At 40.9% G+C, this 17,002-nt stretch overlaps 1 annotated feature.

Moving 5' to 3' along the window:
• Positions 4,093-4,631: an enhancer, noted in NCBI's record as "NANOG hESC enhancer chr8:20350867-20351405 (GRCh37/hg19 assembly coordinates)". NCBI's record gives its function as "activates a minimal SCP1, AML or CMV promoter by ChIP-STARR-seq in naive H9 embryonic stem cells {active_cell/tissue: H9 hESC(naive)}" and the evidence as "EXISTENCE:reporter gene assay evidence [ECO:0000049][PMID:30033119]".

Here is a 17,002-nt window from a genome sequence, read left to right on the forward strand (position 1 = left end):
TGCCCACTTACAGCTGGCAGACTTTCATGTCACCTGGTAACTGGGTAAGAGCAGTTTTTCCAAATGTGGAGTATGCTGCCTCCAGCACCGAAAGGGGCCTACCAAGAATTGTGTTCCTTTCTCAGTGGTGGGAGTTATGAAATGCAATAATTTGTCATTTACGTGGGGGAATGCTTTGCTATGCCCAGATCACTGGACCCTAAAAAACTTCTCTGATATGGCAGGTCCCTGAATCTTCATAGAGTTAATCTACACCTCTGGAGTACATGTGCCTTATCAAGGCCTCCAAAATACCTACTGCTTCTTATCTGGTCTAATTAGCATGATGTCACCAATATGGTAAACAATGTGATAGTCTGTGGAATGTGCAGATGGTGTAGGCCTCTTTGTTTTATATTATGACAGAGAGAAGGTGAATTAAACAAGCCCTGGGGCATAAATATATATTGTTAACTTGTCCCAAGTGAATGCATACTGCTTTTGATCCTCCTTGAGAAGGGATGGAAAAGAATGCACTCGCTAGATTAATGTCTGCATATCATGTGTTGGCGTGTTAATCTCCTCTAAAAAAGGTACCACATCTAGCAAAGTAGGCACAATTGGGGGCTGCTGTTTGGTTAAATTGGCAGTAGCCCACTCTCATCCACCGTGATCTATCTGGCTTTTGGATGCTAGCATTCCCGTTGCGATCAGGGAGTCCAATATTGTAACAGCATCGCCTACTGCCAGCTCTAGCTGAAAGAAGACAGACACCACTGAGCACATGAGTGATGCTGGTGTTCCTCTCACCAACACATTCCTTATCACTTTGGGAAATAAAATGTCCTCTTAGTCTTCATAGAACATAGTCAGAAAGTGGGTTTTTTGCCTGTATCCACTCTGTCCCACCCATTTTTCTGAGCTCTTTGAGCCCTTCTTCCATCATTTGCCAGGGAAGTGCTGGTACATCCATTTAGTTTGGGCCATTACTGGTTCTAAACTTACAAGATTCAACCTGGCAGTTTAGTAGCATCTTCTTCCAGGATCCTTGCCAGGGTGTTCAATTCCATATCATGGGGAAATTTTAATACATTTTCATATTAATATAACCCCCTTTATCCAACTGTGTTCCATCCCCTTGACTCATTGCCCTCAGAATCCAGCCTAATGCACACACTCCCATCTCTTCTTGGTACATATCAGCCAGAACCTGCACCCCTTTGGTGTATAGTCCCTCTCTTCCACATACTCCCTCCTTCTCTGGCCTTGTTGGTCTTGTTGATTTGACTTTTCCTATTGGTCTGATTGACGGAAAGAAAGATTGGCATAGGAATCCCCAGGGGGCCAGTTCAGTCTTGCAAGGCAGCTGACTCATTTGCCATCATTGTATGATACTCAGGCAAGGAAGTGGGGGCACTATCCTCTATCAAGAGGAATAGGTACTTCTGCAGGCCAGCAGGTTTGGGGGAAGATGGGAGTTAAAAATTCTCAACTACATCATTACCCAGGTAATCACATCCCAAGTGTCAGAGTCCTACTCCTTTTCTGTTATGGCCTTGACCTTGGCATAGGAGACCTCTCAGCTGAGAATTCAGTCTTCCCTGAAGTTCTGTTGCTATTACATGATTAATTACTGAATCCGATTTTTTGTGTGGATGACCCTCTGTTATAGTTTTTTTTTTTTTTTTTTAAATGCTGCAAAGGAAATCACCTGGCTTTCACATTTTACCTTGAATTATCAACTGATTATCATGAGTTTTATACTATCTCTCTTCAGCGAGTGAATCTGTAGCACTCAACAACGGCCACCAATTCCATGGTCTTTCGAGTTATTATTTCCCTCATGCCTCTAAGGTGCCAGAGATATTACTCCAGCCAGTGCATCACCTTTTACTGGTGTTCTAATACCTTTAAGCTAGGTAGACATTTTGCAGTTGCACTGCTAAAGCACACCAGACACTACCCATACTATACTGACCACCAGGATGGAGTCCTCATTGCCAACTGGCCAGGGAATAATTCACCTCCAAAAGCATATTTGATAGCCCACTTTCTAGGTCCAATCCTGGTATTAATGGGCTCAGACTGGGTTCCCTGGAAACAGACTATGAAATGGAGAATTTCACTCAGGGTTTATTAGGGAGTGCTCTTGGGAAAAACACCTGTTCAAAAAAAATGAGGAAGGGAGGGTTGGGGAATGAGGAGGAAGAGAAGAAGGAGGAGGAGAAAGAAGAAAGCAGCAGTAGCTGAAATTTACTGACCTAAAAAATAGTTTCCACTGAGGATTCAGCCAGTTCTGTGGGGAGCTTTGAGCTAGGATGACCTTTCCGACCTTTCAGAGTTGTTCCCAGTTGAGACAAAGTTGAAACTTTTTGGATTCCCGTATCAGTCCATCATTGGCCACAGGCTGTCTCTTTGGAGGGGTGTAACCTTGGGCAAGGGAATTCTTTGTGGCTTAGGGCATCGCGCAGTCAGGGTCACAGCTGTGAATCCTCAGCAGTCAGTATTCTCAGCATCTGGGAACTGACAAATCAGCCCTGATGAGGGGATCTGAGGAGAGCACTGGAGTGCCTGCTGCAGGTACCCTGAGCTCATGGTTCCCACTGAGCAGCAAGAACTGGATTTAGAAAAAGTGGAGAACAGCCTGGCAACATAGACCTCATCTCTACTAAAATTAAAAAAAAAAAATTAGCCAGGCATGGTGTCTTGCACCTGTAGTCCTAGCGACTTGGGAGGCTGAGGCAGGAGGATTGCTTGAGCCTGGGAGATCGAGGATGCAGTGAGCTGTGGTGATGCCGCTGTACTCCAGCTGGGCGTGAGACCCTGTTTCCAAAAAAAAAAAAAGTAGAGGAGCAAAAATAGTACATTGGTAATGGCAACACCAATTTCACACTAGCCTAGGATTATCAAATATTATTCTGTTTGATCTTAGACAAGCTATTCAGCAATTTTTGTGCCAAGTTTCTTTAACTGTAGAATAAAATTACTAACTAGATATGAACCTTGAAATGGTGCATAGCATATTGTAAATAAAAAAAATCATTGTTGTTGTTATTGATATCGGTATTTTTCAGCAACACAAAGTTATTTTCTAGCTCTATCTCCCTCCTCATGATCATCTAACCTGGCCCTTGCCCGCCTTTCTCCTAAAATGAAACTTCTACTTCTATCTTGCTGGTTTCCTCACTTGTTCCCAAAAGATGCCATGCACGATGCTTGCACCATTTCCCTTCCTAGACTCTGTCCTCATTGGTCTCCCCTAAGGCTATCTAAATCTATGTGGTCCTCAAGGGAGTGGAAGGAGCAAGTGCTTTGGATTTAAAAGTCTAGGTTTAAGTCTTAGATCCTCACCTTACTTAAGTTGCGCGACCTTGGGTAAGCCATTGAACATGTCTCAGGGTCAATTTCCTCACCATTAAATATGGGACAATAGCAACTACTACACTAGCTTGTCACGAGGAGTAAATATGATAACTAGGTTAAACTCCCAGCACAGACCCAGGCATACTTTAGTTTGCTCAACAAGCATTGGCGATTGGATTCCTTCACAACCTTAATATGATCTAACCAGAGAGCCATTCAATGCACAATTATTGAAAGCCTGTGATGCACATGTACCTGCAAGGGATAGTAAGGTGCAGGAGTTACAGCTCCCCCAAGGATGATAACAGTTGCCTTGCAGCTTTCCCAACCTCCTCAGTGTGCAGGCCCCTCCCCACCTCTCCCTCCTGGTATCTCTACTGCACAGACCCATGCTCCATCTGAACACCAATCTCTTAGGCATTGCTATTTACATCTTCCTACATATCAGTTATGCCTCTCCATGTCAATTGTGAGCTGCTTGAGGGGAGAGACTTCCATATTCTTCCCTGTCCCCATACAACAGTTAACACAGGCACATGCCCTGTGCTCTCTAAGTAATTGCTAAATAAATACATTTTAAAGGAATGTTTGTGATCCTTGATAACACCGAGCAGTTTTCATTTTGCAGGCTGACACCTGTTGGAACCATAACATCAATTTTGCGGGCTGTGACATCAAAATGCCCCTAGTACGCATGAGTATTATTTGCTGAAACTTTCGTTTTTGTCTTAAATGCCTGTCACAGGCTGGGTTGTGGTTTAAAAATAAGTTTCTTACTTTTGATCATGGTTTGAAAAAAGAAAAAAAACAGTGACAGGATGCGTATGACAAGGCTCCTAGCTTGGATGCTGAGCCCCTTGTGGGCAGAATCAAAGACATTGGGCACCAAGACCTCCCAGCTGGAGAGGAAGCAACTGGTTTCAGAAAAGCTCTCCTGGGGTTGGGGCGGATTAGAAGACAGGCAGTCAAGAGAAGAAATGCTCAGGGGCCTGAGCACAGTCGCTCAAACTGCTTATTGTCTGGGCAACAAATAGGCACTGCAGGCGCACCTAAAAACCTCAAGTGTCTTTCCTTCAGAAAGACACAAAGCACTTAAGACCCTGCAATTGCTCAAGATTTTCCTCTAGGGATCCTTGTTTTCTCTAGAGCTTTAGATTGTAATAGAAACACCGTTGCCTTCATTCTTTTCTCACTTATTAAGCTGAAAAAGTAATCTGGAATCTTTAGCCTTTGGAGATTTGGCGATAATTTCTTGATGCAAAATTTGTATAGACAGCTTGACCATGATTGAAAGACCACATGAAAAAATCCTTGAAATTGAAATTGAAATCCTTGAAACTCAAAATTCTAGGACTGGAAATTCTTATCACCTATAGATGCTTTGAGGTTGAATTCAAAGTGTCATTGACCCAGGCACTGTTGGGAGTAGGAAGCCTTTTTTCTTAGGGAATTTGAGCCTCAACCTCTGTCTGCACTTTGCAGCATTGGCTGTGATGGGGCTTGTCTTGGCTGTGATGGGGCTTGTCTTCTGGTTCCATGTTCTGGACAAATGCTTCCACCTTTCTTTCTGGAACGCCTGCCTAATGTCTGGCTGTCTGCTGTTTGTACTCTGAAAACTACTTTAATTGGGAAGGTAAAATACAGTCTCAAATGCCCTTTTTGTGCCTTGTGAAAGCCCTCTAAAGCTTAGCTTAACTCAAAGAGCTTAAATCAATAGCACCGGCCCATTTTCTAATCACAGGGAATTTAATAATGATCAGGAAAGCCATTATCAGTCTGATCTGTGGGACTGTTTGGACTTTAACTCTTGGAAAACAGCTTCCTGTCAAACTTACATACTGTTATCATATAAAATGTCACTGAGAAGGGTATTAAAATCCCTCTTTGGAGAGAAAGCCTTATAGGGGTTCTATCAAAACTACTCTGTATGCTGATGAGTTAGGTGCTAGGAGAGAGAGAGAGCTAAAAACAAGCTTGGAGGTGGAAAGGAGGGAATTGTTCTCTTTTTGCCACAGCACACCCAAATGGAGAAGGGGAGGCTTCTTGGTGTCTGGGTCTGTAATTCAAGAAGTCCCTTGAGACACCTCAGCCCAGGGGCTGGAAAGTTCACGTCTATCCGCTGAGGCCTGGGAAGCCTGTTGGGGCCCCTGAAGGGAAGGGTGAGAGGAGAGCAGCCATGTCGCTCCATGGCTCCTGGCAGAAGTGTGAGGCTCCTGGACTCTGGTGACTTAGCCCCATTTACCATCACAGAGACATATAATACAGGCATTTGCCTACTTAGATCCCAGCCATGTGAGTTTTGGAAGTCTGCTGAGGTGAATTTCAACCCTGGTTACCATAATGCAGTTGGGCCTTTTGTGAGTTGAATGTGATGTTGTTGTTTTTAGGGATTAAATGTTCAGAGAGAACCACTGACTTGGGGTTAGATGGTTGGCCTTTAACAAAACCCTAAAGGAACAGGGTGTGAACAGTTACATAACAAAAGATAAGAGGAACTACTTGAAAAGCTGAGTTGGCCAGCATGGTGGCTTATGCCTCTAATCAGCACTTTGGGAGGCTAAGGTATAAAGAGCACTTGAGCCCAGGAGTTCGAGACAAGCCTGGACAACATAGTGAGACCCCTCATCTCTATAAAAAAATGTTAAAAAAATAGCTTGGTGTGGTGACACGTGCCTGTATTCCCAGCTATTCACAAGGCTGAGGTGGGAGGATTGCTTGAGCCCAAGAGGTTAAGGGTTGGCCAACTCTCTGCACCTGGGTTCTTCCAGCAGCCAAAGACTTGTAGAGAAGAGAAATGAGTGCATGTGGGCTCCGGGGGGCACATTCCTCCATTGTGTGCTCACATCAGACAGTCTCCACGATCCCAGCCAGCTCCTGGGGCTGTGACCTCCTGGGGTCCAGAGTCTTTCCTGAGCCACTGCCATGAAGCCAAAGTCCCCAGAGTGAAGCTGCCTGCACTGTGTCCTATGTCACCAGCCCTGGTTGCCCTACTTGACACAAATGGAGACCCCATCTCCATCTGACTTGTTTAAGGTCTTAAGTCTAAAACCTCAGCATCTTCACAACTCCACTTGCCTTATCCCTCCCCCACCAGATCCCCCCCCTCCAGGACTGCTAATCTCTCCTGCTGGGATGCACGTGCTCCCACCCCACATTTTGCAGGTTTTAACCCCTTTGGCTCTTTCAGATAGGCCTTAACCTCCTTAAGAAACTTATAACACATGGAGAGCGAAGGCCCAACACTGATTTTACATATTAGAAACTCAAACTCCGAGGTGGTCCGTGAGACCCTGTGGCTGGTCGGTGGCAGCAGGTGCCCAGGACACTGGCCTGGGCCTTATTCCTGGCCTGTGTGCCTTCTGTGTACCACCTGCCTGGGATGTCTCCATGTTGTACATAGAGAAGACTCTGGAGGGGGCCTTAGTACAAGCTTTGTTGCCCCAAAACTGAGTGATTGAGGGAAATACTGCAATCCCTCTGGTCTTCCTTTCTTTTTCTGTAAAATGAGGATAATCATGTCTAATTTGAAGCTTAAATGTATTTAGTGTTCCTAGCACTAGAACTGGCATGTAAAGTACTTAATTGAACTGTCATTGACATGCTTCCTGAAAAATTACAGGAAAAATGGATCCTGAAGGAAAATTGGGAGTTATGGACTGCATGATTTTGTTTCCCCAAATTCATAAGCTGAACTCAGAACCCCCGGTGTGATGGTGTTAGGAGGTGGGGCCTTTGGAAAGTGATTAGGTCATAAGGGTGGAACCCTCGTAATGGAATCAGTACCCTTGTAAGAAGAGACAGGAGAGAGCTTGTTTTTGTGTTAGGCTGTTCTTGCGTTGCTACAGAGAAATACCTGAGACTGAGTAATTTATGAAGAAAAGGCATTTAATTGGCTCACGGTTCTGCAGGCATGGCACTGGCATCTGCTCAGCTTCTGGGGAGGCCTCAGGGAGCTTTTACTCATGGTGGGAGGCAAATAGGGAGTCAGGCACGTCACACGGGAGGGCAGGAGCAAGAGATAATGAGGGTGGGTAGTGCCACATTCTTAAATAACCAGATCTCAAGAGAATGCACTCACTATTGCCAGGATAGCACTAAACCACGAGGGATCCGCCCTTGTGACCCAGACACCTCCCACCCAGGCCCCACCTCCAAGATGGAGAATTACAGTTCAACATGAGGTTTGGCGGGGACATATATTCAAACTCTATCAGTTTGCTTCCTCTCTCTTTCTCTCTTCTTCTCTTCTTCTCCAAGAAGACAGACATCTGCAAGCTAGCAAGCAGGTCCTCACCAGACATCAACTTGCTGGCACCTTGATCCTGGATTTCCCAGCCTCTACAGCCATGAGAAATATGTTTGTGTTAAGCCATCCAGTCTGGAGTAATTTGTTATGGCAGCCCAGACTAAGGAAGGGAGCACGAAGAAATCAGGAAATATGGCCCCAGTATGATGCTGGGCTCTGTGGGAGACAGCTGCTTGAAGGCAGCAGAGGTGTCATCTGTAGAGGCTTACCACCTCTTAAGATTATGTTGGGGTTTCCAAGCAATGACTCATGACAATAATATCCAGGGGGACAGAGCCAGTCATTGAGTTCCAATGCATATTATCTATACAAAAAGTGGGTTAGCCAAAGCTCTCCATGGCTTCAAGGGCTGGACACAGCCTTGAGATATCAAATCATTAATAGGAGCCAAAAGTTCTTATTCTACCATCATTATTAATATTGATAAAAGAAAGCAGAGGTATTGCTGATTCAAAATCACATGACCAAAATATCTTGTCTACTGTCCATCTCCTCCCCTAAATATAAATTTGATAGAGATCTTTTCTGTCCTAGTCTCTGCTGTAGCCCCAGAACCAGAGTGTCTGTCACAAAACAGGTGCCCAGTGAACATTTGTTCAATGGACGAATGATGAACAGATTAAAATAATAGACCGTGGCTGAAATTGCTATTTTAGCCAACAAACGCAGTATCAAATTATCAAAATTGCTATTTTAGCCAACATGTGCAATATCAAATAATCAAATAGACTTGATCATTTCGATAGCGCATATGTTGGCTAAAATAGCAATTTCAGCGTCTTAAAGACATGTGCATGCATAGTCAGCTCTTGATTAGTTCTTCTTTAGTTTGTACATGCTTTTAGATCATCACTTAGTGTCTCTTGCTGCCCATTTTTGGCCCGTTTTACGATTTGTTTGCAACCTATAATCATGTCTAAGTGGAGAAGACCAGTGAAAGCCAGGCAAGTTGATAACATCTTCACTCTAGAAAAGAGTGAGAGTTTTGGGGTGAGTAGGTGAAGGGGTTTGAGGTGGTCTGCGTCCTGCCATCTGTCTGTTTTCCCCAGTCCTCATGGCCACGTACAATTGCAGAAGTCAGAGGCAACCTTGCTTCCTCAGAATCTTGCATGAATTGAGAGCACTTGCAATCAGTCTGGGGCCACAGTAATTGAAATTAATTGAATTTTAGAGATAATAACGTTTATACTAATGTGTGTATTGAGAGGAGACAATAATCTAAGAGATAAGTACCTAGGAGAGGTGGGGTGGGAGAACGTGCATCCCAGCAGGACAGATTAGCAGTCCTGGAGCAGGGGTCTGGTCGGGGAGGGATAAGGCAAGTGGAGTTGTGAAGACGCTGAGGTTTTAGAGACGCAAGAGAGAGAAGCAACCTGGGGAGGAAGAGGCAGAAGAACCTTTGTATGATAATGATCATAATATTAATAGTGCCAGATGCCCTTTATTGAGTGTTTCTATGTGCCAGGCACTATGTATTTTAAATTTGTGATGTTATTTTATTTTCACAAGAAGCTCATGAGGTGAGTTGTCCTCCGTATTTTATTTTATTTTATTTTATTTTATTTTATTTTATTTTATTTTATTTTATTTTATTTTTGAGACAGAGTCTTGCTCTTTCGCCCAGGCTGGAGTGCAGTGGCGTGATCTCAGCTCGCCGCAACCTCTGCTTCCTGGGTTCAAGTGATTCTTCTGCCTCAGCCTCCTGGGTAGCTGGGATTACAGGTGTGTGCCACCATGCCCAGCTAATTTTTGTATTTTTTAGTAGAGATAGGTTTTGTATTTTTTAGTAGAGAAGGCTGGTCTCAAACTTCTGACCTCAAGTGATTTGCCTGCCTCACCCTCCCAAAGTGCTGGGTTTACAGGTTTGAGCCACTGAGCCTGGCCTTATTTTATTTTAAAGAAGAGAAGCCTTAGATTTAAAGGGATTTAAATAATTTGCCTCAGGTTGTTTGGCATATACAAATGCCAAATAACGCAGTTGGCCCTTGAACAATGTAAATTTGAATTGCATGGCTCCACTTATATGCAGATTTTTTTTCAATAAAAGTTACATGAGCATTGCTGTCTCTCCAGCCTCCCCTTCCACCTCCTTCACCTCTTCTACCCCTGAGACAGCAAGATCAGCCCCTCATCTTCCTCCTCAGCCTACTCAACATGAAGATGATAAGAATGGAGCACCTTTATGATAACCCACTTCCACTTAATAAATAGTAAATACATTTTCTCTTCCTTATGGTTTTCTTAATAATATTTTCTTTTCTCTAGCTTACTTTATTGTAAGAATAAAGTATATAATATGTGTTCATCAACTATTTGTGTTATCGATAAGGCTTCTGGTCAACAGTAGGCTATTAGTAGTTACCTTTTTAGGGAGTCAAAAGTTATAGTTGGATTTTTGACTAGACAGGGTTCCCCTGCATTGTTCAAGGATCAACTGTACTCTTAACTATTTATCTACAGCATATCTCATTTATCCGAAGCAGGAAACCAAGAGCAGAGAGGACCAGGAGAGAAGACATTCTAGAGAAAGAGCCAAGGAGGCTGCTGATTCTGAAGCAGCTCCAAAGAGGGTGGTTTTGATAAGGACCTGGTTCCTGAGGAAATAAAGGAAGTCTGATTCCAGATAGCAAGCATTTCCCAAGAAAGGACTCTTTATATTTTATACATTTATAAATATAAATGTAAAAGGATTTATATTTTAAACATTACTTCTGCCCATTTCTGGATGGAAGTGGTGCAATTTTAGCTGGCTTTGGGTTTGTCCCTAGCTCTTGCGCAGTGGTCTGCCTATGGTGCCCTACAAGAATGCTTAAAGTGAGGGAGTAAATGCACAAATGGGGTACTGCGTGAGTATGAGGCCAGTTGATTCTACTGATGAAGTGACAGTGAAAACTGCCATCCCCTCCCCATCTTTATCCCAGTTATTATTATTATTTTTTAAACTGAATCTACCGCCATATTCTCATACTATGAGAAAATGTAAACTTTTATCTGTAATGAACTGTAAGGGGAATCGTAGAGAGGACTGAGAGAGAGAGGTTTAGTAAAGAAGATGGTTTTAGAAGAGAAACCCTAGATCACATGAGTGATAGCAGCAGAAACTTACCCAAGTGAGAAGGCAAACTTGCAGTGATGTTTTTACCTGGATTGTGAGCTGTTCTATCAAGAGTCCTTGAAGGTTAGGTAGCTGGAGTTATCAGCCACCTTGGAGAGAGTCCTCTGGGCATGTTGGTGCTTCTTTGTGTATAGCAGTGCCAGAAGCGTTTGAACCAGAGTGACTCCATCTTAAATAAGGGCTGGGTAAAATGAGGCTGAGACCTGCTGGGCTGCATTGCCAGAAGGTTAGACATTCTTAGTTACAGGATGAGATAGGAGGTTGGCACAAGATACAGGTCACAAAGACACCAGTGATAAAACAGGATGCGATAAAGAAGCTGGTCAAAACCCACCAAAATCAAGATGGTGAGGAAAGTAACTGCTGGTCATCCTCACTGCTCGTTATACGCTAATTATAATGCATTAGCGTTCTAAAGATACTCCTGCCAGTGCCATAAATGCCATGGCAACATCTGGAAGTTACCCTCCCTAAAAGGGAGAGGAACCCTCAGTTCCAGAAATTCCCTGCCCTTTTCCCGGAAAACTCATGAATAATCTACCCCTTGTTTTGGCACATAATCAAGAAATAACTACACATAGACCCAGTCAAGCAGCCCCTGCTGCTGCTCTGTGTATGCAGTAGCCATTCTTTAATTCCTTGACTTTCTTAATAAACTTGCTTTCATGGTACTCTTTGGACTTGCCCGAAATTCTTTCTTACATGAGATCCAAGAACCCTCTCTTGGGGTCTGGATTGGGACACCTTTCTGGTAACAGCAATGTGATGCGGTTTGGAGACAGACAGAGCTGGACTTAAATTTAGGCTCAAACATCCACTAGTTGAGTGACCTTAGGTTAGTCCCTTTGCATTTTGAAAGTGGGACTTTCTACTGTCAAGTGGCGCTGCTAATATCTGCCTCTCAAGGTTCTCTTGGAGTTTCCAAATAATGACTAAAACCCTGGCTCATCACAGGCATTCCATAAACAGTGGAGGTTTTGTGGATGTGCTTAACTTTGATCAGGCAGAGAAGCAGAGAACAGAAGTTAGAATTCCTTTCCTTCCCCCACACCCCCCGATTTTTAGTGATTTTTGCTGTATCGCGTCTTTTGAAATGTGAATGTTGACCTCCCAACCTATTTTCGTTGATATTTAAGTCAACATTGAACTTCGTGTTTCCCAAATGGAAGGCTGTGTCATTATTAATCCATTTGGTCATTTCTTTCCTTTCATTTTCAAGCCCTTTTTAGTTACTTTTGCTTGAAAAGGTCTAACATGTACCTTTAATCTCCTTGTCATATAGCAAACTGCCATTTACATCTTTCTTTTTATAATATATGGATACTTTATTCAGTATAATTTTGTGCTTTGGCAATATGCAAGTATCATTATTATGTTTTTGCATAGTTACTATCTGGGTCAGATCATGGGACTATTCTTGTATATTTGAGAGAGATGACAAAATTAAAATGATAGTGAAGTTAGGTACTATTATCTCAGCCTAATAGAGCTGGTCTCAAATTGAATGATGCTTAAACTGATTCCAAGGTCATGATATGTGTAAATTTCATAAGTCTTGTTGGCTTGCATTTCCTTGCATTCCTAGTCATTAGAAAAGCCATTCACCTCCCCACTAATCAGTCTCTGAATGCTGCAAATCCCAGCACAACTGTCAGCCATTCCCTCCAACTCAGGAACATGGCATTGCCCCATTCTCTTATTTGCCATAGTCATTGTCTCTGGGCAACCTTACACAGTCCTCATACACCTCATCTGAGCTTCCTAAGGCATAAACGCAGCACCATAACAATAGTCCATTAAATAAAAAGGCTGTCTGTCCTGACATTGTGGTGCCCTGAAAATACTGAAGACCGCCAGCCACTTAGAAGCAATGAAAAACATCAAACTGGATAGAAATTGCGGTGCTGCTCTTAAGTTCAATTTTCCTTGTAGCTCAATTTCCTGGCTTTGCACTTTCCTAGGTAAATCACGTTAATAGAGGAGAAAGGCAGGGGCTACAGGGAGGTTGATAGTGGATAGCCGGATGGTCCTCTGGAGAGAGAGCATCTCATCCTGAACCATCAGGGAATAGGTAACAGGTACTCCTGACAAGCAGGTATTCAGTGGTATGAGAAGTCATTTAAATGGGAAGTGGGAGCAGAGGTCTTCTGCTGGAAGGGAGTATCTTCATTATTGCTGTCATGGTGCCTGTTAACTATCCCCATCCATCATGTGTTCAATACCTCAGTGAAATTAGCCAACTGCATATTACAACAGAGCTCTGATGTGCCAATCTCCCTTGAAAGCATTAAGCTGTCTCTGTTATGCGTTCTCCACACCCTCCGCCCCCTTTTACTGCCCATTAATGATCTTTCATTTGCATCACAGAACAATGAAGTCCTTTGGCCAATTATGTGAAATTATAGGTGCTCTGTAGATGTCCTCTGTCACCTGTTTACCGTCTTTGCTGAAGCGGTGGGCTGGAGTGGATTCATATTTTAAACATTACTTGACTTCTGCCCATTTCTGGATGGAAGTGGTACAATTTTAGCTGGCACAATGAGCCCCTGCCTTTGGCTTAATAAACTGGCTCATGCCCAGACTGGATGAAACTATAAAGTCAGTCTTGACAGATCCCTTTAAGGGTTCCTTTCAGCTCATAAACCAGGAAGGGAATAGGACATCTCAGAACATAACAACAAACTTGCCCCTTCTATCCCAGGAGACTTTTGGCATGCCTCCTCTGGGATGCTTCTCTTACCATAAAACCATTATTCCAACTTCATTGATTTGGAAAAAAAAGTTTGTACTTTTGAACACGAGTAAATGTATCATAATTTTCTAGGAACTGGAATACAAACGTAGGGGAAATGAACACTATGGAACATCTATTACCAGCCAGATGTGGTGATATGTACATGTATGTTAATTTTCAACCCAGCCTTGCAAAACAGATATTAAGCCTAACTTTATTAATGTGAGAATGGAAAAAATGATAGTTTAAGAAAATCATCTGGCCGGGTGTGGTGGCTCAAGCCTGTAATCCCAGCACTTTGGGACGCTGAGGTGGGTGGATCACCTGAGGTTGGGAGTTCAAGACAGACTGACCAACATGGAGAAACCCCGTCTCTAGTAACAATACAAACTTAGCCAGGTGTGGTGGCACACACCTGGAATCCCAGCTACTTGGGAGGCTGAGGCAGGAGAATTGCTTGAACCTGGGAGGTGAAGGTTGCAGTGAGCCGAGATCGTGCCATTGTACCCCAGCCTGGGCAACAAGAGCGAAACTCCGTCTCAAAAGAAAAAAAAAAGAAAGAAAATCATCCAAGATTGATGAAAACCACAAAGACCATTACCTTTCTTTTGCACAAGGAGGCAATCTTGAGCAGACCCAGAGAAAAGCACTGGGATCTGAGCTGCACCATTTGCTAGCTGAGTTATCATTGGCAAGTCATTCATCCTCTATGTGCCCCAAATTTATCATCTGTATAATAAGGAGAGAAACACTGTTCAGGTCTAGGATTGTCATGAGATTATGTTAGACATCATAACAGCCTTGAGCACAAGGAAAGTACTCAAGGACTGTTATAACATTTCTTTCCTTTCTACATATCCTACTCAGGAAAAAAGCTGAAAAAACTAAGGGAAGAGAAGATGTACTCACGTAAAAAAAAAAAAAAAAAAAAAAAAAAAAAAAAAAAAACCCCGGAGCATAAAAGCACTAAATTTCACAGCACTATTTATTGATATTACATAAGTTTAAGTAGGATGGTATAGCACTTAGTAGAAAAGCTTATCATTAAAGCAATGCCTGGGTAGTGTAAAAGTTAAAAGCAAGGAGTTAGGTGAGGGAGGGATCAATACTGAAGTCATACAGAATGACAATCACCTTTCTCCCTAAGAGGACTTTGATTGAAAAACAATTTTTTTTATTTATTTATTTATTTTTGTTTTTTTTTTTTTTTTTTTTTTTTGGGACAGAGTCTTTCTCTGTCGCCCAGGCTGGAGTGCAGTGGTGCGATCTTGGCTCACTGCAACCTCTGTCTCCTGGGTTCAAGTGATTCTCTTGCCTCAGCCTCCTGAGTAGGTAGGATTACAGGCACCCGCCACCATGCCCAGCTAATTTTTGTATTTTTAGTAGGGACAGGGTTTCACCAGGTTGGCCACGCTGGTCTCGAACTCCTGACCTCGAGTGATCCACCTGCTTCAGCCTCCCAAAGTGCTGAGATTACACGTGTGAGCCACCGTGCCCGGCCAAAACAAAAAACAATTTTAAGTAGCCAATACAGTCACATGACTCAAATATAAAAAATCTTAAAGGTTTGCAGGGGAAGTTTTTTTTTCAATACATTCCCAAATTCTATTCCCCCATTTCTCCTCCCCAGAGACAATTAGTGTTATCAGTTCATTATTCTTGCAGACTTTCTTTTCTTTTTCTTTCTTTTTTTTTTCTTTTTTTAAAGAGACAGGGTCTTGCTTTGTTGACCAGGCTGGAATACAGTGGTGTGACCATAGATCACCTCAGCCTTTAACTCCTGGGTTTAAGTGATCCTTCTCCCTCAGCCTCCTGAGGACTACAGGTGCCTGCCACCATGCCCAGGTAATTTATTTTTACTTTTTTGTAGAGATGGGGTCTTGCTGTGTTGCCCAGGCTGGTCTTGAACTCCTGGACTCAAGCAATCATCCTGCCTCAGCCTCTCAAAGTATTGGGATTAGAGGCATGAGCCAGTGTACCTGGCCAAATTTCTTATAATGTGTGTTTGTTAGCATACATATATAATATATAATATATGTAATATATAATATATGTAATATATTATATATAATATATGTAATATATAATATATAATATATGTAAGATATTATATATAATATATGTAAGATATAATATATATTATATATTACACAATATATAATATATAATATAATATATTATATAGTATATATAATATATTATATAATATATATATAGTATATAATATATATATACTATATATATATAATATATAGTATATAATATATATAATATATATATAATATACTATATAATATATTATATAACATATAATATATAATATATAATATATACTATATACTATATACTATATAATATACAATATATACTATATAATATATAATATATATAATATATACTATATAATATATACTATACTATATATAATATATAATAAATATATAATATATAATATATATAATATATACTATATAATATACTATATATACTATATAATATATAATATACAATATATATATAATATACAATATATATATAATATATACTATATAATATATACTATATAATATATAATATACAATATATAATATATAATATATATAACATATATAATATAATGTATAATATATACTATATATAATATAATGTATAATATATACTATATATAATATATAATATATATAATATAATATATAATATATAATATATATAACATATAATATATATAATATAATATATATAATATATATATAATTTTTTTGCCCCTCATATATTCTTTCTGGACTATCATTTACACTGTAATTTCACCTAAAATATACTTTTGAGATTATTGGCTTCTCATTATACCAAGAGCTTCCTTTTATTTTTATGCCAGCATGACATTCTAGTTTATGTATTATAATTTATTAAATCCCCATTGATGGATATTTATTTTATTCCCAATCTTTTTCCACCAGTAAAAAATGCTGCAGTGAATAATCATACACATATATCATTTTGCATGTGTGTGAGACTAGAACTGGTTTTCTGGGTCAAAGATTTTGTGCATTTGTAAAGTTGATAGATATCGCCAAATCGCCTTCTGTAGAGGTTGTGATTTTCTCTCTTCCTAGCATTGTCTGAGAGTAGTTGTTTCCCTATAGCTTTTCTATCCCAATTTTTAATGAAACTTCTGGATTTTTACCAATCTTATAGGTGAAAATTGTTTCCCAGTGTAACTTAAATAAATAGTTCTCATATGATGAAGGAGGTTGAGCCATTATTCTCATGTTTAAGAGCGATTACATTTTCTTTGCTGGGAGATGTCTCCTGTGAACAGTATCCTCTTTTCTGTTGTAATGTTTATATATCTCTTAAAATTATGTAAAGTACTTCGATTTTCCAGCTTGTCATTTGTCTTTTAACTTTGTATATTGTGCTTTTTCCCATGCAGATGTTTTTGATTTTTATGTAGTTAAATTTTAAATCTGCCTAACGTGATTTTTTAATTCCCTAAATTTATGTA

Source organism: Homo sapiens, chromosome 8 (assembly GCF_000001405.40).
Source record: "Homo sapiens chromosome 8, GRCh38.p14 Primary Assembly".
Taxonomy (NCBI): Eukaryota; Metazoa; Chordata; class Mammalia; order Primates; family Hominidae; genus Homo; species Homo sapiens.